This window comes from Homo sapiens, chromosome 18, assembly GCF_000001405.40.
Source record: "Homo sapiens chromosome 18, GRCh38.p14 Primary Assembly".
Taxonomy (NCBI): Eukaryota; Metazoa; Chordata; class Mammalia; order Primates; family Hominidae; genus Homo; species Homo sapiens.
The window spans coordinates 31,369,504-31,392,453 of record NC_000018.10 but is presented as its reverse complement, the minus strand read 5'-3'; the positions used below and the strand labels follow the sequence as shown (position 1 = coordinate 31,392,453).

Sequence of the window (22,950 nt, the reverse complement as noted above, 5' to 3'; positions counted from 1 at the left end):
TTCAAAGTTATGAAGTACTTTTTTTTAAAGGCAGATTCTGTCTCTAAGGTCATTTAAAACTTCTTTGGAATAAAATATTTTGGAAGAAAATATTGCAGATCCTTATACTGTACCTTGACAACTTTCAAAATGCCTTCATTGGTTTGTGGATCTGTTTGAATATCGAACCAATTCCCATCATTTCCAGAGAGAATTAAATATTGAGCCAACCAGTTATCAGTGCCTTCTTCATCAAGATCAATTGCTTGTAATCGTATCAGTTCCGAACTTAAACAATTCTCTTCAATACTGGCTGAGTACTAAAATGCAAGGATCAATTTTGTAGTCAATGAATTTTCAAAAGAAGAAACGTACTTAAAACACATTATTATTATTTAAAATACTAACAACAAACTATGTCGATGATTTTTGCACCATTATTAAATGCCCATAGTCCAATCAGGAGAATAAGAATAAAATGATTATAAGATAATAAAACTGACATTCATGTGCTGTATGTAAAATCAAGGTCAAATTAGCACTTTGTTCCTTTCTCTTTTATTTATTTATTTATTTTTGCTTATTGTTAATTTTCTTTATTTATTCTTTTCTTTTAGATAGAGGACCAGATTTTTTTCTGTAAAGGGCTGAATAGTAAATATATTAGATATTGTGGGCCAGAGAATTGGTGTTGCAACCCCTCACGTCTGCTGTTGCAGCACAAAGCCCCCATAGACAATATGTAAAGGCATGAGGACAGCTATGCTCTCCAATAACACGTTTTTTGTTTTGTTTTTTTGTTTTTTTTTTTAAACCGAAACAGACAGCAAGCCAGATTTGGCCCTGCTAGTGTGGATTTTATGCTTCTTTATGCTTAGAGATGAAAATGGAAGTTGAGACTGTCTGGGACTCTAGTAGAATTCATTCAGCAAATCATGAGGCATATACAAAAACATTAATGTTGCTATGTTATTCCCAGAGTTAGATCAACAGATTTCTGTGTTTCTGTGAATAGAGTATACAGAATAGATAGTTCGTTGCTTTCACAGAGAAGGCTTGTTTGGAGTAGTGAGTCAAAGACAAACATACAATTTGAAGGTATATTAGTATACATAAGAAATTCCAAAGTTTCTATAACAAAGTTGAGTATGTCCACACATAGGACAGAACCAGGCTCATGAGCCAGCATGATTGATTATTGACACTTATGCAAATTGATTATTGACACTTATGGAAAAAGGAAGATAAGAATACAAACTTACTGAAGTTTTCTCTAAGGTGGGGAAATTATCGTTGACGTCTAAAACCTTGATTCTACAGTCACACTCAGAAGACAGTCCATCTGCAGCTCCATCCCGATCTGAGCCTCTCACAACCAGGTTGTACATACTGTGTTGCTTAATCAAGATGAAAAAGAACGTAAGACTTAGGTTTTGTCTTGAATAGAATCCAATGCATTCAATGCCATTATTTCTCTACTCTTTTATTTACATATCCAATGAAATTTATATAATTGAGCTTTTAATTTTTATTAAAAATGGATTATTTTTCTTCCCTCCTTTATATTGGAGTAAGGGTACACATGGATCATTTTATCTTTGTCTTTTCAAAATTGAATTTTTTAGTTCTTGTTCATTCACAGAAGGCTTTACCTCTCTGTCCAAGAAACTGGACATGGTGCAGACTTCTCCAGTGTACCTATTCAGAATGAACATGGGTGCACCTGATGGCTCCTGAGAGACGATCTTGTAGGCAATTTTAGAATTCAGATGATTTTCTTCATCTGCATCTGTGGCACATAACTTTACTACCAATGTATCTAGAAATAGAAATGGAGGTGGAGAATGGTTGGGACTCTTAGAATAAATTCAGCAAATCATTAGGCATAAGAAGACAGAGTGGTTGGCCTTCTCCTGAATTCTCTCTGTTTGAGTTTTCCATGGGAATATAGTACCATAACTTTCAGCTCTACCAGTGATTAAAAAAAATGTGGTTTGCTTTATAAAACCCTTTACTGTTTTAAAAGTACTTGCACTCCTTAAATGATTAAATACTAAATTAGTGGCTAAACATAGTTCTCTTTAAAGTACGAAAAAGAAGTTCAATAGATTCTTTATCATATAGCTGAATAAACAGATTTTTATCTGTTTTATTTTTTGCCATGGTCTTGTGAAATCATTTAAAAATGCTTAATTAAGGAAAATTATAGTTTAATTAAATGCAACATTATAATTATGTATTGAACACCTATATTCTTAATTGCCACTTTTCCAGAAAGCAGATAATTACTCTTGGTTGCATTGGAAGATAGCATTTTACCAAACAGTCACAAATTTATAATTATTGAAAAGAAGACTTGTCCATAGCAATATAAGAAGTTCCTAATTACTCATAGGTAGAAAGAACAGGTATCTTAGGCAAATCCCCAAGGATGTCAATCTACAGGACAGACTTTTCAGAATTGTCAGGTCCCTGATGTTCTTTTGCTTCCTAGGCAGGGAGACTTGGTTGTGGGTTTCACCTTCTCTTCCTTCACCAGTGTTGTTTTGAGGTGTGTTGATGAGGAAGCAAAGATGGACTTCGGAGTCTCTCTTTGTGTTGGCTCTCCTAGGCAAAATCTCTTTGCCTCTCTATGGGAGGACTATCCTAGTTCAAAAAAAAATTTTGTGTTTATCTGCCTTTTTTCCTGAAATTTATTTTTCCTATTATTTCCCCCCAAATTTGTTTAGAGGTATATGGGCAGACATAGATTTGAAAGGGAAAGGGACAACAGGGGTTTGGGGAACAAACTGATATTCATGTGCTGTATGTAAAATCAAGGTCAGAAGGCAAAGGGAGAGGAGAGATAGGAAAGTAGCCATATAAGAAAAGCATAAGAGTAGGAAGGAAAGAAGTTCAGGAGAATTAATATAAAGGAAAGACAGAGGGTATTAGAACTGGAAATGGAATTAAGTGGAATGGAAAGAAATGAAAGAAAATGAGAGAATAGAATGTAGTTTGCTATGTAGTCTGTGAAGATCAATGATTACCCTTAGTGATTGATCTGATGGGTACAATTGCGTGTGCTTCCACCATCACGCTCTACCTGGTGTGGGTCAGCCAAACATTTTGAGTAAGAGACCAGAACAGAGCCTTCTTAAACATTCCTGGTTTATTCCTCAGTTTGCTCGCTTGGATTTAGTTCTTCATGAGCCCAGTAGCAATCTTTAAGCAAGGTGCTAAGCACCTGCTAAATCCCTGTAGGGACCTTCCGCAAGTAAGAAGATATTTTATTTTATCATTTTAGACATGATTTCTTTTTCTAGCTCAGTTATAAATTAAAATATGTGGGGTTTATTCAAAATACAAGTGTGGCTTTTTCTGTCCTTTACATTTCCTGTATGTCAGTCCTCTAAAGCTTTTGACCAAGAGAAGTAGATATGCTGTGACGTAGAGAAGGAATGTCATTCTACTTACTGGCATCACTATTTTCTTCAATGCTGGCTGTGTATACACTTTGCGAAAAGACTGGAGCGTTATCATTTATGTCCATAACTTTGACTCTAAGCTCAAGAGGCCTTTCTAAATCTTCACCCCGTGAATTCAGAGCCCGGCAATAGATCTGTGGAAAATTGGAAAAAAGCCATCTTTTTCCACCAAAGGAATTTTAGTAACATGCTTGAAAATATATCAGAAAATAGGCAAAGAAACAATTTTTTCCAGTGAATTCAGACTGTAGTACAGTCAAATAATTTAAATATGATCAGGACACTTGACTACATGTACATGCAACATACCAGAGAATCCTGAACTATAAACTTTTATTTTCACACTCTTTCCATTCCTTCAAGTCTTCTATTTGGGTTCAGTCTGCCATGTTTTATCAAAAGTAATCCATTATCTTAAGATAATATTTTTTGAAAAAGGGAAGAAAACTAATATGAACAAATCAAAACATATGGCTATGACTTACCAAGAAAAGTGGAGTTATTTCTCTGTCTACCACTGAAGTGATGTTAATTTCCCCAGTGCGAGGATTAATGGTGAATACCCCATATGGTGGTCGATCAATCCCTACTCCAGAAATCCGGTATGTTATCTTCTGGTTCGATTCGCAGTCTGATCGAATCTATAAGAAAAATAGCTAGGATTGTGATCCAGTTTAGAGCAGATAATGCTTAAGAGTGTAGTGGAATAAGAAGGGAGTGGGTTTCTTTACCAAATGGGCTTTGGATTGAAACCTGACACCATGACTTAGTCCTGTGTGACCCTGGAAAATTTACTTAACTTTGCCCAGATCAGCTTACAGTGGGGATAATATCACACAGATTTGTTGTGGGAATTACATGAGGTAATGTGTATAACATACACACTTGGTGCTAGGTTTGTTGTTAATAACACATTGTTCAATTCTCTGATTTTTTAGCATACGCAGAAATAGCTTCACAAAAGAAATTACAACATTTACTATTTTTTAAAAATAACTTGTGTCATATTAATAAGTATCCTACCTAAGCTGGAGTCTGAGATTTAGTCAAAATGGTAGATAAGTTGAGAATATCAGAAAACTATAATGGTTAGAGATATTTGTAATAATTTTATAAATGTAAACATACTGCATCACTTTTCTGCCAAATAGATTTTATGGCAAATATTCTGCCACACAGATTTTGCTTTAGTAGCTTTATTACCTATTGCTGATAAATTTAAACTGAAACAATTTTGAAATCTCACCTATATACTAACGATAAGAGCATTCAGTAAAATAGTAAGATTTTTTACCCACACATTCACAGTCAAATAAAGACTGCTGGAAATAGAACTTTGGTTAGCTTAACTCTAATCCAAAGGCCCTTTTTACATAGAAGAAAACTCAAGAACCTCCCAAAATGCAGAGAAAAAGAAAAGAATATGCAATATAAGTGGAATAACATAAAGCAATTACTGAGTTGAATGGAAATAATAATTTAAAAGCGTCCCTCCAATTTGAAAACATCTGAGAGAGAATACATCTGTTTTCTTGAGCTGAGGTTGTATCTGTAACACCACTGCTGATGCTTACTATGTTTTTAATATAAAGCTGGAAGGAGGGAATTCTGCAGATCACTTTACTGTTCAGGATCAAGATGTCCAGAAAGAGTGAATGAAGCTATTAATGTGGATCCCATCCTTCCTGGATCAATTTATTACACATTCTTTAACTCTCCTTCCTTTTCAGTAGGCATTATTTGTGAAAGTCTTATAAGACTCTCTTATTTTCTGGATGTAGAGATCTGGTGGGAACTTTTGATACTATCCTTACTTTCCTGGAGTTAATTCATCTAGTGCAGTAAACTTGGCTTGACTTTCTGGAGGGCCAGGCTTCAGACTGTCACTATGTGAATACGTTTCCTATGACATTGACAGGCAATAATGAGCAGTACACAAATGGATGAACAAAGCCCAGTTGTGCTGGAGATCCAGCCCTTTCTTCTAGAATCACTTGCCATTGACTGCCTGCCCCACGTCAGCCTCCCTGCACATGATATTCAAATCAGTGGCTCAGCAACTGGAGCAAATGACCACATTCTGTCTTCTTAAATAACTGTGGAGCAGTGAAGCCTGCAAATCTTGGAGATATTTGAAAGCTTCCCTGCTCTGCAAAAGCATTTGTCATCAGATTGCTTCATCACTTACTTTGGCAATGGGGTTCCTCTTCGAGTTGTCCTCTCCTTCTCGACAGGCTGCGGCAAACTTGATCCACTCCCGCTTTTGTCTTCTGACTGTTTGCCATTTTGTAGTGCCATTTTCAATGTCAAATTCCTTCACCTTAAGCAAAAATGGTTCAGGTGTCTTACAGTGTGAGAACAATTTTACTTAGAAAGGACATTTATTTAATATTGTAAGGTGCATTTAGAAGAAACAGTGATATTGAATTTGAAGAACAGAGAATGTTTTCACCAATTCACAACTCTGGATAGATAGATAGCTTGGTTACCCCTGGCTGCCACTTCTTTTGGAATCATCTTGGTTCCAATTATTTGATTCTAGTGAAACAAATTTAATTAGCTACTTGAGGAGCTCATGATGTGCCATACTGTATAAGTTGTGCAGTTTTCCTTTTCTCAATCTATCTTCACCATATAGGAGCCTTGCCTATCTCACCCTTCATTGAGCTTTCACCAGAATTTACAGACTGCAGAGTTTAAAGATTATCATTGTTCCATGTATGCACATCCCATATAACATAAAAGTTGTGCTGGTGAGTCGTGCTCACCTAAAAGAGAGAAGAGCATTTTTCTCTTCTGTTGATAAGGACACCACTGTGGCTAAGCACCCAAGTATATTTTTGCAGAATTAGAAACATATTATTAATATTGGAGGAATTGATGATTCCTCCAATAATCCCATGGACACCTATAAGGCTTTGCAATGCTGTCATTTGTATCTGTGCTTGCTATATGGTTTTTCTTTCGTAGCCTTAAGTTGCTGCTATTGATGTATACTTAAGAATTTCATACTATTAATGAGATTAGAAATGTCACTACATGTGCAAGCCTATTTGTATACATGCATAAACTATATATATGCACGTATTTATTTTTGTAAGTCCTAATGTACCCCCTGAAACACAGGTGATTATAAGTTTACTTAGGCTAAGCTTCATTTAATTACCACTTTGGGGGAAGGAGGTGTTCCACTGAATGAAGCATATATTACAACCAGAGTATTTACATTATTTCTCCATTTTGATACGACTTACTGAAATGTACCACCTATTCCCTATTTCACCAAAAAGATGAGAAAACTTTATTTTTTCCAATGATTTGAGGGGATCATAAGGAAAATTTAACTATTATAATAAAATAAAGCTCTGCCAGAGATAGAGGACAGCAGCTCTATTTCCTGAGTTCTACTCTAAATGGCACTAGATTATATGTTTTCCATTTAGTTGGGATTATACAATTTGAATGTTTGTCCTTTTTCTCATTGATGAACCATTAATTGTCTTTCTGTCTAATGTGTCTAAACAGTCTCTTCCCACTCTAAAGTGTCACTTTGCTGCTTTTGCTTTGCTGTGGATTGGAAAACATAAATAAACTACTCATATAGTTTGATAAACAGGAGTTACTAAGACACTAAGCTGTTGCAAACACATGCCCTAAATGCATAGAGATTTGGGAGCATGGATTTTACCATCGCTATTTCAGTTCACTAGTTCTTTCTCTTAACTTTTACCTGGATAATTACAATTTCAAATATTCTGATTTTTATATATAATACATTACAAAATTCAGTTTTTGTTTTAATTTTAAATTGAGAAAATAATTTTATTTTACATTACCTCAACAATAAATTCACTGTTTACTTCCATCACCACCTGTTTTGATAGAAGATACCACATTAGCATAAATTTGCATAATTTAGAGGAAGCCATGTCATAAAAACATTGACAATATTCTTTTATTAATTCATTTTTAAATATACATTTTGTTGATGATGTGAAATAAACATGGCTAACACAAATGAATAATAGACTTTTTGCCCTCCAAAGTATTTACATTTTAGAGAAGACAAACACATAAGTCTACAGCAGGTTGGGATACCTCAGTGGGCTCAATGGAGGATAGAGAAGGAAACTCAAGTTATCCAAGTGAATTTCAAGAGGACTTCCTAGGAGAGTAGGGATTTGAAAGGGCTCTGCAGAATGAAGCTAGTTTGATAAGAGGAATTGATGAGGAAGAGCATTTCACCCAGGGTGAAACAAGAACACAGTTGTAAAGGCTCTAAGTCAGCGGATGTTCCAGAAACGGTCAATAATATTTTTGCTGGAAGGTAAGGGAACGTATGAGGAGCTGTGGGAGATGCAAGAATCTACATGCTGTTGCCCTGATGCTCAGTTTCATCCATTAGAAAAATAGATGAATAAGTTCTTTGTCAGTTGGAATTTATTTTACTCCTATTACTCCTTGAACTCTTATACCACATTTCTATTGATGAATTATCCCTTCCATAGGTTCATCCTACTGGAATATATTTTCAAGCTTCACACATATTTTAATGTATTTTAAGGTTTTTATTGAGCAGCCTAGCATACTTGTCTGTAATGAAATATACATATGAATAGAAATTTTATTTTATTGGAATTTCTATCATTGTGAAGCTCTAAGTGTAAACAAACATTTTTCTCTGAATTAGATTAGTTTTACAATTATACTTAGCATCACAATTGAGCAAACAAAATGCAAATATTGAAATTTCAATGCAATATAATTAAATATGAAAAGTAAAACTTTATTGGAAATGCATTGAAAACACAGGGATGAAATTTTAAAAAAATTAGTTCTTAAATAAATATTACTTATTATTAGAATTAAACAAGCTTCAGAACCAATTCTGTTTTGTCTGGTTTTGTCTTTCAGTTGTAAGTACTGGGAAAACTTGTTCATATTAATAGATGACATTGGAATTTTTTTTCTGGTAGCAGAGTCATTAAATTCTTAAAACTTATTCTGAATTACATGACCTAAATCTATAAGGCAATTTATCATCAAAATGATTTTTAATGATGTATAAGTTGACAACTCCTTTAGGTCCTCTTTTAATTTTGTTGAAAACAAATAATTGAAAAGCAGGACTTGCAAAAGGATTTGTTAAGTGCCTTGAAATTAACTCTCTTTCTCAATATTGACGTCAATATTTTCCATTATTCCTTAGTTTAGTGCCCCAGATAATTTCACAATCTATTAGAGTGCAACAGAATAACGTTTGCCATGGCTGAAAGGTGTGACTTTTTAAGGGGGATTTGGGAGAGAAGAACCAGCTTGATACCTCAAGTTCAGGTGCACGCTGAGGTAGATTGACTTGAGGAAAGACCAGAAGCTGGGGATCTGGAAAATGATTCCTTTAAAACTCTAGTTTTAAAACTCTAGTATTTTAAACTTGAGTTTTAAAGGAATATGCTAGAATAAAACTAGAGTTTTAAAACTAGATAAAAAACTCTAGTTTTAAACTAGAGTTTTAAAGGAATATACTAGAATAAAGCTAGAGTTTTAAAACTAGAGTTTTAAAGGAATATGTATTCAGCAAAATACGTGTCCCAATTTGAAGACTCTTATAGGAACAATTAAGCCGATATCAAGTGTACATTTGGAAGTCATTGATTTACAGTCCATAGTGGATATGTAGCCTTAAATTATAATTTGGCTTTATAAAAACAATGTGATTTATCACAAATTTCTTGAGACAGGCAGGCACAAGAACTGAGTAGTGTGGCTTTGGACAAATCCCCTGGCTTCTTCCTGTTTCAGACTCTGATCCAAATAGAATGACCAAGGTGGAAGTGATAGGCACAGCAAATGCTCAGTACATTTGTAAAGACGAAGGAAGAAAGAAAGAAGCGTTTTCTTCTGTGCTTTCAAGGGCGCATTCATAGTGCCCCGTGGCATCTAAAAGTACTAGCCAATCATTTTTAAGGACTTGAAAGTAGCCACATCAAGCAGACTTGTCTGTAGTTTAAACGGATGAGGAGTTTTGAGTTCATTTTACCTTGGTCTTATCCTTTCTACAGAGCCCAGCTCAACTGAAGTAACTCTGAGAATGTTTGAGTATAAGCCCCTTTTCATCCTTTTGCTGTCCCTGAATTTTTTATTTTTCATTATTTTCAGGCCAGGGAAGTGGAATACTAGGACCCAGGGTTTTCATCTAGCAGAACCTATGCTGTGCTGATGGAGGCTTCCATAGTATATTTGTGGTATTTCTGCTCCCTGCTCAGCTGGCTCTAAGGATGAGGGTAACAGAAGCCAAACCCTCCAAATCCTGTCACTTTATGTACAGGTCTCCCGGAAGGAACTTGCCAGGTATTACTCCCAGGCCCTATGAAATCATAAGCCCCATCAGGAGCCCTCACTTTCTAGGAAACACCTGTTAATGAGTGTTTTGGAAGAAGCATGGAATGACATCAGCCTCCTAAAGTGCACAACATAACTGTATGAACCTCAGTTAGACCGTGAAAAGTAGTCATGGACTCCTAGGTAATGGTGGAAATTCCTTGCCTACAAAAGCCTTTTTAAAAATTTTTCTTTTTTAAGACTAGTCAAGTGCAGTAGTGAGACAGGGGGGAAAGAATAGAACAAGGAGCTTGACCTGCAAGTGGCTGTGAGCAATCAGTTGAGATAACTCACTACCTTTGGACCAGCCCAAAAGTCACATTTTCAGAGCAATATGTGGGCCAAGCATCATCCACTGATGTGGCTTGACCTGAGGCCCCGAGTAAAAGACACACACACAGAATAGAAATGGCTGAGCCAGTTATCACGATGGTAGAGTACTAGAAAAGGGAGTTGGAGGCATGTGCTGTTGAGGGAGCAAACATAACCTGGAGAGATGTGTGGTATCCTAAATGTATTACAGTCTCTGTGGGCCTGGTTGATGACGGTTCCCTGTCTGCCTTTATTTTTGGATGTCCTTTTGATAGGTTGCATTAATGGCAAAAACTTGAACAGGACTTTTACTGGAAATATAAAAATGCTTAAGATACTACTATTTGGCTGGGCGTGGTGGCTTATGCCTGTAATCCCAGCACTTTGGGAGGCTGATGTGGGCAGATCACGAGGTTAGGAGTTTGAGACCAGCCTAGCCAACATAGTGAAACCCCATCTCTACTAAAAATACAAAAAAAAAAAAAAATTAGCTGGGCGTGGTGGCGGGTGCCTGTAATCCCAAGCTACCAGTGAGGCTGAGGCAGGAGAATTGCCTGAACCTGGGAGGGGGACGTTGCAGTGAGCTGAGATCGCACCATTGCACTCCAGCCTGGGCAACATTGCAAGACTCCAACTCAAAAAAGAAAAAAAAGGAAACTAAAATTTATGTCTCTGCTAATTTCTGAGAAAGAAATGAAGAGTAAGACACAGGCCTAGAAAGAGTGACATGTTAAAACAGGAGGGAAGCAGGAAAATAAAAAAAGATATTGGGATGAATTAGGCAATGTAAAGGAAGAATGTATAGGGTTGGTCATTGGTCCAAAGGGAGAAGGGAGTCAATGCTGGCAGAGTTGAAGAGTTTTAGGTTCACATCCTGACTGTCCCAGTTGTGAGCTGTCTGACTAATTTATCCCATGAACATTTTTTTTTTTAATTTGCAAAATTTACCTTTCGAGACTTTTGTAATCTCTTCAAATGGTTTTGTTAACTGTGAAATGTTTTGTTAGTGTCAGGTGTTGGAATGGCAATGTAGTGGCTGGCAGCTTCAGAGAACCAATACCTCGTCTCAATATGAAACACTCCAGCTCTTTTTAAAGCTCACTGACCATGTTAAAGTTGCTCATCAACATGTGGGTGGGAAATATATGATTAAGTGACTTGGTAAGAAAGATAAGTTAGAAACTAAATCCATTCATTCATTGAAACATTTTCATTGACAAAGCATGTGACAGACACTGTTCTCTATGTGCAAGACAAGTTTCGACCTGTAATAATGTATGTATTCCAGAGAGGAATAACAGGATACACCACACTCTATTGTCATCTAACTTTTAGAAAACTGTAGAAATTTTTCTGGGTCTTGTTTTCTCTTTTAATCCTTACTTCTAGAGAGAACATGATGATTTTATATAAGATATGTAGACTCTAAGCATATAATATATGCTTCTTGCAATACTGGAATAGATATTATTCTCTTACATTCTGAGTGTATTTAAAGTAGTAGCTACAGAACAAGGCTACTGTTTCATCTCTATGACTTACCCTTTTGAAGTAAGTAGTCAGTTTGGAAGTCATCCGCATATGTAGGACCAACTTATTAATAAGCAGTTCTTTCCTGAATAACGCTTATAATAATAATTGAGTAAAGCAGTTACTATCCCACCAGGTCTATGGTAGAGTTGCCAAGTTCAAGCCTAATTATACCACTTTTGCTTATAATGGAAGGTGTATCAATAATGGCATCTTAGTTTGTAAGCCATGTAATTTTCTGCGTAGAAAAGAAGGGCAAACATTTCTCATGCAAGTTATGTCTGAAGGTTTCCCTCCAGGCACTGTTGTCACACACCCTGTAGTCAGAGCTGCTTTCCATGAGTGAGGAATTCCAACTGTGCTCCCACTTGGGGAAGGGAAGGAAACATTACTGCAGCTTAAACAACGGTTTCATTGCTCTATACGGAACTCCTTCCTGGATACTTAAGAACTAGAAAAGAGTCAGACTACGTACTCAGGATCCAGAAGCTCTGTCCCCAACAAAAAAAGTATCTTTCAAAAAGGAAAAGGGTCATAGAATCCCAAGGGCCATGAAATCTTTTTAGGGCAGGATTTTTATCCTACAAGTCAATAGGTAGATATTCTTGAGAAAACTATACTAAGTTATAGGTCATGGTAATACTAGATATCTCTTGGGATATAAAGCTTTTTTTATATGAGGTTCTCCCCATGGACTCTGCAGGAATTTGAAGGCAAAAAATATAAACTTATCCACTGATTTAAAATACATTTAGTAATTCCTTAGCCACTTATATCAACAAAACAATCATAGAGGTGAGATTTGCTTCGATGTAACCTTTGCGGTGATGAGTACATTCTTTCTGTAATAAGCAGTACTGAAACCAATCATTTAAAGCAATCTAGGGTATTCTGTTTAGTACAAATATCAAGCCAAATAGGATAAGGTGTTTTTCTCTCTGTCATATTTCTGGAAATCTGCCTGACAAGTAAATAGAAACAAATTTCTGTTCCATGTTTCAGAATAACATATTTGAGTGCATGTGAGAACTAAATTGATAAGTGGCTAAGTTAATTTTAAATATGTTTTCAAATTTTGATGCCTGCTCTCAACTTGCAATGAGATAACAGCTATATTTAGCCACCTACCTTTTTAACTTCCAAGAATTAGACTATTTAATGGAAGTGCTTACATCTTATATGTAGCATGAATGGTCATCACACATAGAGAAAAATTCTTATCTGATAAATGGTTGTCTTTTATGACCTTATCCACTTGATATAATATAGGCCTCTTCCAGCTAATAACTGTCCTGCCGTAAGTGATTCCTTCCTTATAAAATTTATACAATCCATAGAATTGCCTAAATCCTCAGATTCTCCAGCCAAATTTATGAAAACTATTTATGAGCCAGAAATGAACTTCTACTATGTAAGTATTCAGTGGAGATAATTTTAGAATTGCAGTTTCTACAGTGGAAGCAACTTAATAACATCATGTCTAACCATACATTCTCACATGAGGTCAAAGGAAGCCCTGAGAAGTTGGGTGCTTTTGCCAAAGTTACACAGCCACTTTGAAGAGGAGCTGTAATTCAAACCCGGGACTTCTGAATCTCGATTCACTGTTGAATGTCCCTCACCACCCCTGTCTGTTTTATAGAAGAACATGATAAGCATCCTTAGGAAGAAAATGCCAAATGACTCGTGATAAAATCAGTGCCCTATTGTAATCTAGAGTTTTGAGTACCTTTTGCTGGTTAGCCAGTCAGAACTTTGTTTACAGTGCTCTTTGCGGTTGAGATGTAGCTGACACAAAGTACCTGTGAGTCTCTGAGAGGCTGCCACACCCTCATTAGTGTAAGCTGCAATGATGCCCCAGAGAGTCTTTGATTTAGTTAATGAAGAAGGGGCAGAGTTCAAGTTCAGGAAATTAAAGAGAAGTAGGCATGTCTACTTTCCTATAATATCTATAACATCTCATTGATTCTCCTTAAACAATTCTTGTATTTGTTTCAATTTTGAAATATGCCAGAAGTCTCTACCTCCCAATTCCAGACACTATTAATTGATATGGTAAGGGATCTTTTAGACAAGCATAAAGAAAAAAAATACTTAAAGAACTTTTTCACAATTACCGTGAAATGTCAAACACAAAGACTTCAATATCAATGAGGAGTAGGAGGAATTAAGTATTAAAAACGCTAGTATTACCAAGGAAAATAAATAAATACTACCAAAAAAAGATCCTGAGAGTCTGAAGTATAATACTCTTTCAAGATCAAGGAGAAGAATCAACTCTTCAATTAAATAATATTATCATAAATCATGCCTGTGCAGAAGGCAATGGGAGGCAAGATTTAGTGCTCAGAAGTGGCCTCTAAAATCTTGACACATACAATTTTCCTTACAGAAAACCAAAAGTTTATCTGAGTCAAAGCATGAATATACTCGGTAGAAGAGTAACAAGAGGTATATCCTCATAACTTACTATTTCAATTGAAGACCAAGTCCGATTCTTGCCTCTTCTTTTAGTAACATTTATTTTATTTAGTAAATAAATAATGATCATTGTAACAGAATATTGCCCTTCGTCTTATGTTTTTAAGTTTAAAAATATTTTTCAAAAATGGTATTGTTTAATAATCTGTCTCCTAAACTCAGAGGATGCAATATTCTACCACTGTTGTCACGTTCCCTTTTGAGCTTGGGGTTGTGTGCCCTTTGGCAGTGTTCGGCTCCCGCACTGCTCTTGAAGTTTAGAAATGTGAATTCCAGAAGAGTAGCTCTCACTGTGCCTCTTGGACAATGACGTGCTCCCATCTCTCCCAGCCCTAGCTACTCTCTGTCTCTTACAACTGATGTTCAGAGGAGTCTGGTATAATTGCCACTTGCCTAAGAATAGGATGGGAATCACTTTCTAAGCTTAGGTTGTAGCGCTAACCTGGATACTCCTGGGAGATTGAAGTGTGGCCAACTATAATGCATTTGTCTTAATTTACTTTGAAAAATTTGTACAGTTCCTAATAATCCTGTCCTCTTACCCTCCCAGAATTGGCAATAGTTTGTTGATTGGCCAACTGGAACTTTGTTCTTCTTTGGAGTTGGAATTATCTCTTTCTAGGGTAGGATATTTGCTATGCATGCTGCCTGTCTGGAAATCATGTCACACCTTGGGCACCCAAAGGTTAGAGGAAAGAAATATAATATCCAAGATGCCATGTTTACTGTAAAGAAATAAGTCATTTAAATATTTCTTTGCTGGTCTGTAGGAATGCATTCATAATTCCAGAAAAGTTTTGTCTTGATGGCTGGGCTTCATTTTTCTTTAGCAATATCTGACTGGAAAAAGTTCTCATGACTTTAGTATGTCATCATTAGTTGCAATGTAATTTCAACATGGCTATCATTCCTCCACTTTGAAAGAAACTCATAGGGAAATAACTATTGAAAAGAAATGGGTTTGATTAACTTCCCTTCAAATTTAGAACCCATTTGCACTGGCAGTTTTCACAGCAATCTATCTGATTTATTTATATGATCATAGAATATGAATTTTATTTCCAATTTAAAATTTTAGAATAGTCCTAACACTCAAAGTGAAGTAGATTATGTCTCTGAGGGCATATAAATTTAATTCAGCCAGATTCTCACCCCGCTTCTCTATGGCATTTTGTTCCTCAAGGCGGAGAGAGTTGTTTGAAATTAACAGAGGCTGGACTTCTAGAACTCTCTTTGCAGGAAGGAGATTAAAAATGGAATAAATCCCATGTAGAAAGCCCGACAGTTGACAGAGACAAGACCTTGAGGCTGCATTTCCTTCCCACCTCTTTAAATTCTACTTACCATTAGAATGATCAAAAGGCAAATGTTTCTGAAGAAGAGCCAATCCATTCCTTTGGGTTTCTCTTGCACGCAAATCCTGTGAGATTCAATTTGAGCCCTCGTCTTCTCAGTTCCGAATTCTGCTCTACAGAAAGATATGCTTTGAGACACCCTTTTAGGAGGGCATGGGTGATAACTGTGGTGATCTCTGGGCAGAGAGATGAAGATATTCTATAATGACTGTTTCCCCACCCCAAACTCCCAGGCTGGTCTGGAAGACTGGCATTGTTTGGGCTCTGGGTAAGAATTTAGACACACCTTGATTCTTATTGCAATGAAACCCTTTGTTGGACACCAAAGAAAAACCTTACAGAGCGAGGACAAGATTTACAGGGAAGATAGCCAGTGAATAATAAATTACTCACAACATAAAAAATAATTAAAATGCTAGGGCCTATCATCATGCTGAATAAAATTAGAAGGCTTCTTCTTACTGCCAACATTGTAAAAGCAAAATTACATATACTGACAACACATACACACACATGTCCACTGCAGAACCCACTTCAAGGAATGATACTTTTAGCAGAGGCCATTGTTGAAAGTCATCAGGACTCAAGTATGGTATAGGAAGAAAGATAGAATAATGACGCTCATTTCAATTCAGTTGAGTCCTGCTTCTCTCTTTAAAATGTCTTGTGGTTGAACCGCACTCTCAATTTTAAAGATTTTCTGAAATAACAAAGTTAAGATGAAGGAACTCTGATTTAACTAGTACCAGTATGTTTGTTTCCATACTTTGGCATTTTCTTTCTTGATTATTCAGTCAAACCTCTACAATATGATATTTACAAAATCATTTTAAAGTAACTACAATACAACATTCTCACTTCTCATAGTATTACCACTGATAAAAAGTACATAATGTGGGTGAGGAACACATTTTACACCACCACAAATATTTATTAAGGAGAAACTGAAGTTGGAAACGTGAGAATTTAATGAAAAAAAGCCCAGAGTGGGATCTGGATATTTTTGAATATTATTTCCCTTTTTCGTGTCTCCCTTTTCCTTTGTTAGTATGGGTTTGAAACAGGGTATAGAGTGTCCTGATGCAAACATTGCAGGCTGGCAGCAACATCAATAAACTTAAAAGAAAATGCAGTTAACTGTTCTCTGATTGATAGATAATACATGTTGGTTGGAGAATTTCAAAGGGAGACTGCCTCCTGTCTTCACTATCCCATCACTGTAATTCAGAAACAAGGTTGACCCTGGTAATAGAATGTATTCTAAGTATTGCTTAGTTTCTTGAGAAAAGTAGTTTTAGTATTTTTGGAAGCCAGATAAAGTAATTTACTTTTGCATTATTTCATGTCATGTTGAATTAGATAATTTAATTTGCCTAAGAGAATTAATGAAACAACTCCAGGTCTTTAAGTGACATTGCTTTTTACAAGGGAAAAACAACATTCTTCTCTATTGTTGTGTTTGAAGGAGATATTTCACAAAGGTCTCTATCTTTTGTTTACACTATAGATGATTTCTTCTACATATAAGATTTTTCTTATATTTTCTTCTAAATATAAGATTTTCTATCTACTTGAATGCTATTTATAGGATGAGTTTTAAAGAAAAGAAACAGGAAGCAATAGAAATAGGTACTAGATCATTTATGTGGGTACCTCTAGCTTTCTCCATTTGAAACTCCTGATTTCAATGGTATCCAGAATTTGAATCCAGATTATAATTATGAACATATTTAAAAGATTCTTCAGTAACTAAGGAGGAACTACCTGAAGCCCCATCATTTCATTTCTGTTTACTCCTTGGAGATTTGTGGGAATGATCTTTTGCTTTAAAGTTTTTTTTGGAGACAGAGTCTTGCTCTGCTTCTCAGGCTGGAGTGCAGTAGTGGTCTGAGTGCAGCTCACGGCAACCTCTGCCTCCTGAGTTCAAGTGATCCTCCCACCTCAGCCTCTCAAGTACTTGGGTTTACAGGTGCATGTCACCACACTTGGTTAATTTTAAAAATATTTTGTAGAGACAAGGTCCTGCTATATTGTCCAGGCTGGTCTCAAACTCGTGGGCTTAAGTGATCCTCCTGCCTTGGTCTCCTAAAGTACTGAGATTACAGGTGTGAGCTACTGTTTCCCACAGGGGATGGATGATTTTACAGTGGAATTCCCAAAGACAAAACTTGGTTATGGTTCTGAGCTTGTGTAGATAAAGAGTAGCTACTTCCGTTTCTCTTGAAGAGTATCAGTCATTGTAGAAACAGAGCATAAAACATTAATGCTTAAAGATACCACAGAGATCATATAATCCAATCTCTCCTATCTTGCCTCTCTCCTACCCATGTGATAGTGATAGTCTAGGGAGGCTGTATGGTTTATTAGGGTCAAAGATAGGCAAGAGTTCCATCTCCTCATTCATAGTCAGTTTATATAAATACCAAGCCACTTTTCATTATTAGCTACGTATGTGAAGGCAAAATAGTGGATGGTTAAACACTATTAGCTTTAAAAGACTTTCCCATACTTTAGAGTTTACTGAACTGTTGGTTCTATGAGCAGAATTTTTAGCAAGTTTTTTATAGTATTTATTTTTGATGTCAAACCAGTGACATTTCATTTGCTCAGATGAAACCATACATTGGCTTTTAGGGATGCTACTGATATTTAATTATTGTACTTATGCTTCTATAATATTGTATAAAGTAGCAAGACACCTTTATTCTCCACATCACATCTGTGTAGAACACAGTGAGAGCTTTAACACCTGTACTTTTCAAATCAATGCCACAAAAGGCAAGGAATTCAATACATGCCAATACAAGTCCTCTTTGAAAAACAGAAATGTAATTTATACAGACAAAGATATTGTGGAAATGACATTAGGGCAAACTTTTCCATCAAATTATTCTAGTCTAGGGTTACTACTGGATATTATTCAAATATCCAAGGACAATTCTATTTCTTGAAAGCAAGAGTTAGGGGGAAGGAAATTTAAAAAATAATTATGGTCCTAAAGTATGGTGGTCAAATGCAGCACAAGTTGTTTCCAGAGCTGACGCAAGCAAAAGGTTTTCATCTGCCTGGGCCTGGGGAGGCGGGGACAAAAGGTAAACAAGGCTTGTCAGGGTTTTGACCTAGAGTCATTGCTGTGAACACATGTCTGTTCACCTACCACACTGAAGATAAACATCCTGTCCCCTCATTAAAGGCAACTTATGTATGGCAACAAGGGGCCGGCCAACCAGGTTATTTAGTGGGTGTTAGAAATCATAGAGATTAAACATCAGTTTCGTAAAGAGTTATGTTATTTCCATAAAGATGATGTTAGTTTACACCCTAAAATCATGCTTACATCCTGACAGAGATGCCTTGTTGATTATCTCTGTGAATTCACAGGTATAGGATGTATTCCAAATAAGTGGAGACAGAAGAGCGTGGCTTCTAGCTGTATGTTAAATAAAGCGTATTACTTACATACTTATTGCATACTTGCTACATACTTATCTAGGAAATATCATCTTAGTTTGCCTCCTGCCTCCCGATGACTACAGTGGCAACCATTCTACAGTGTGATAATTATTTAGATGTCACTCTGGTTTCTTCAGTGACACTGGCAGTGTCCCTCTTATGACAAAGTTGTATCATGTACATGGTTAACCTTTGATGCTGTTAGTTATATATCTGGCAACCTCGACTATGGAATCTGGTCAGCTCAGGATGTCTGAGGAAGAAATCCAGCAATAGGAAGGTCAAAAGGTAGGCAGTGTTTTTTGAAATATATTTCTTAGGCCATTATGTAGAAAATGCAGGTTCCCTGGCCCCAAATTTAGTGAATCAGAAGCTTTGGGGATGAGATCTAGAATTATTCATTCTTAACATACTCTTTAGGTAATTCTCGGGAGGCAGGCTGAAGTTGAAGAATTATTGAATCAGGGTAATCACGTGGCCCTATGGGTGGCCCAGGGAGAAATGGCACCAGGTAAAAAAGAACATTTTTCTTTTTTCTTTTTTTGAGACAGAGTCTCCCTCTGTCACTCAGGCTAGAGTGCAGTGGCACAATCTCAGCTCACTGCAACCTCCACCTCCTGGGTTCAAGCGATTCTGCCTCAGCCTCTTGAGTAGCTGGGATTACAGGTGCCCGCCACCACATCTGGCTAATTTTTTGTATTTTTAGTAAAGACGTGGTTTCACCATGTTGGTCAGGCTGGTCTTGAACTCCTGACTTCAAGTGATCTGCCTGCCTCTGCCTCCCAAAGTGCTGGGATTACAGGCGTGAGCCATGGCACCCAGTCAAAAACATTTTTCTAGTGTGAATAAGATTAGCATCTCTTCATGGGGTGGGCCAGGGGCCGGGGAGAGATACTGGCCATTTATATTTCTTTTTATTTGAAATATTTATTTCCTTTTTCCTGGTTTTCCACTGGGCTGCTGATGTCTTTAATACTGGTTCTTTCATGTACTTTTGTATATGAGAGAAAACAGCCTCTGTCATACGTGTCACAATTCACGTAATTTGCATTTTTTGAATTTGTTTTGATTTTTTTTTGCAATTGATAATGATTATGTTTTCGCATAGGATAGGTTTTTATAAACAATTCTGCTTTCTGTATTAGTTTGTTGTTGTAAACTACAAACTTTCTGTATTTGTTGTTGTAAGTAAGTTATCACAAACTTAGTGACTTAAAACAACACAAATTTATTATCTTACTGTTCTGGAGGTCTGAAGTCCACAGTGAATCTTGGGCAAGGTTAGTTCCTGCTAGGGGTTCTTAGGAATAGATGTATTTCCCTGCTATTTCCTGCTTGTGGAGGCTGCTTTCATTCTTTGGCTTATGTCCTCCTTCCAGCAATCACATCATCTCTGCTTCCTTCCTCATGTCTCCTTTATGTCAGCAAATGTACATGAATTCCCTAGGTTGTATCAAGGTGTGGAATTTCTGGGTCATAAGTTAACATTTTTTAACCTGCTAGAGAATACCAACTGAGCTCCCATCAGCAGTTTAAGGAGAGTTTTATTTACTCACCAACATCAATATCAAAAGCATTATTAGACTTTTAAATTTTAGCCAATTTGTAGGATGAGTATTATATCTTGTTTGCATTTCTCTGATTATTGCTGTGTTGGGCATCTTTGCATATGTCTATTGGCCATTTGCATTTTTCTTTGTTATTAGTATTAATTGTTAATATTAATATTAAATTAATGTCATTAATATTAAATATTAATATAAACATTTAATATTTGCATATTAAAGCATTTCCCCCTTTTTAAACTGCATTGTTCTCTTTGCTAAAAATAATTTTTAGTGCTCTAAGTTATGCATATCTATGTATTATTTGTTGGTTACATGCATTACAAATATTTTGAACTCATTCTGTGGTTCATCTTTTAAATTTTTTAATGAGTTCTTATCGTGACTGGAAACTCTTATTTTCAGTCCTCATTTATCAATTCTTTCTTTTATAGTTAATGCTCTTATGTCTTGTTTAAGAAAGCTTTTTATGTACCTATAATATATTGCCTTACACGTTTACATCTCTAAATTACCTGGAGATGATTTTTGTAAATGGTACAGGGTCAATTTCATCTTTGTTTTTGTATGGATACCTTAATGTCCTAGCACATTCATTGAAAACAGTGTGTTTTTTTGCACTGCTTACAATACCAGCTATAATAAGTCAAAATCTGTGCATAAAATAAATAATATACAAATAACGATAATAAAATATTAAAAATTTAAATAAAAATAAGTGTTCATAAAAGTGTGTATCTTTTTAAACTGCATACTCTTTTTTCCTTTTACTTACTTGTCTATTCTTATGTCATTGCTAATTTCATTTTAATTGCATAGTTTTGTAGTAAATCTTAATATCTGATGGAGAAAGTTCTCCCACTTTGCTCCATTCGAGTGTTTTGGCTATTCTTGGACAATTGTATTTCCTGTACATTTTAAAATCAGCTATCTATTTCACAGGTGAACTAGAATTTTGATTAGGATTGCAAAATATGTTTAAGTAAATTGGAAAGAATCAAATTTCAATTTTGGCTCAAGTATTAGAATACATAAACAGAGAACATATCTCTTTTTAAAAGTTTATTTAATACAGTTTAATTATGTTTCCCTGTCAAGGTCTCACAGAGGCATTTAAAATACTTATTGTTTGGTACTTGAGATTCCTTTGATGCTAGTATAAATGTTATATTTCTTTAATTACATTTTCTTGCAGATAGAAATACAATTGATTTCAGCCTTTTGATTTTTGTGTTCAGTAATTTTGTTAAATACATATTTAAAATTGGAATGATATATCCAAAGATTCTTTTGGAGTTTTGACTACACGATCTTTTAATCTGACAATAATGATAGTTTTCTTCTTCTTCCAGTCCCTATAACCTTTTCCTCCTACTTTTTGAACCATCAATGCCATGTTAAATGAAGCTGTGATAGTGAACATCATTGTTATTTCTTTATTTCAAAGAGAAAACTTTTAATATTCCACTATCAGGTATAATATTTGTTTCATTGATTTTATAGAAATTGTGTATAAGGTTAAGAAAATCTCCTGCTCATAATTTGCTAGGAATATTTAATCATAAGAACATGCTGGATTTTAGCAAACATGTCATATATATTGGGAAGATGATATGTTTTCTTCTCAATCTATTAATGTGTATATTACATGGATTGATTTTCTAATGTTAACCTAATCTTGCATTGTTGGTAACAAATTCAAATTTGGTCACTAGTACTTTTGGTATATTCCTGGATTCAGTCTGTGACTATTTTGTTTAGGAATTTTCCATCCATGTTCATCACAACCAAGATAAGGGACGTATCCATTTTCCCTAAAAGTTTCCCCATGCAACTTTATAATTCTTCCTTCCCACCCTACCCAGCTACCGTATTCCCAGGCAACACTAATATGTTTTCTATCACTAGAGATTAATTTACTTTTTATGAAATTATATGTTATGTTATATATTTATTAAGGTATAGTTTATTTTTTATATATGGGGCTACACAGTGTGTTCATTTTTTGCTTGACATTTGTCACTCAGCACAATTATTTTGCGATTCATACTCAGAGTTTTGTGCATCAATAGTTCATTCTTTTTTTAAATTGCTGAGTAGTATTTAACTGTATAAGTATAGTACAATTGTTTAAACTTTGTTCATCTGTTGATGAACATTTGCATTGTTATCATTTGGGACTATCTGAAATAGAGTTGCTATAAAAATTTGTGTACACATCTTTGTACAGATTTATAGACATTCATTTCTCTTGGGTAAATATCTGGGAGTAGAATGTCTGGGTCATGGTGTAGATGCATGTTTAACATTTTAAGAAACTGCCAAACTGCTTTCCAAACTTGAGGTATCATTTTGCTTTCCCACCAGCACTTGGTATGGCAGACTTTTTAATTTTAGCCCTTCTAATAAGCACATAGTGGTATCTTA

General features: G+C 35.6%; 1 protein-coding gene and 1 long non-coding RNA gene across 3 annotated transcripts in view; one reads left to right on the top strand and one right to left on the bottom strand.

The window, feature by feature from the left end:
- DSG4 (desmoglein 4) overlaps positions 1 to 15,677 on the bottom strand; it is a 38,133-nt gene extending 22,456 nt beyond the window's left edge. For both annotated transcript variants that reach the window (NM_177986.5, NM_001134453.3), the window contains exons 1-8: positions 15,495 to 15,677; positions 7,283 to 7,318; positions 5,635 to 5,766; positions 3,932 to 4,087; positions 3,436 to 3,580; positions 1,632 to 1,798; positions 1,242 to 1,376; positions 114 to 299 (exon numbers count right to left, since the gene is read on the bottom strand). In NM_177986.5, the coding sequence (NP_817123.1) occupies positions 114 to 299; positions 1,242 to 1,376; positions 1,632 to 1,798; positions 3,436 to 3,580; positions 3,932 to 4,087; positions 5,635 to 5,766; positions 7,283 to 7,318; positions 15,495 to 15,542 (1,005 nt within the window). In that variant the 5' untranslated portion in view covers positions 15,543 to 15,677. The remainder of the gene's footprint in view (positions 1 to 113; positions 300 to 1,241; positions 1,377 to 1,631; positions 1,799 to 3,435; positions 3,581 to 3,931; positions 4,088 to 5,634; positions 5,767 to 7,282; positions 7,319 to 15,494) is intronic.
- The window catches only part of DSG1-AS1 (DSG1 antisense RNA 1), an 83,621-nt gene that overhangs the window by 34,535 nt on the left and 26,136 nt on the right, over positions 1 to 22,950 (top strand). The window lies entirely within an intron of this gene.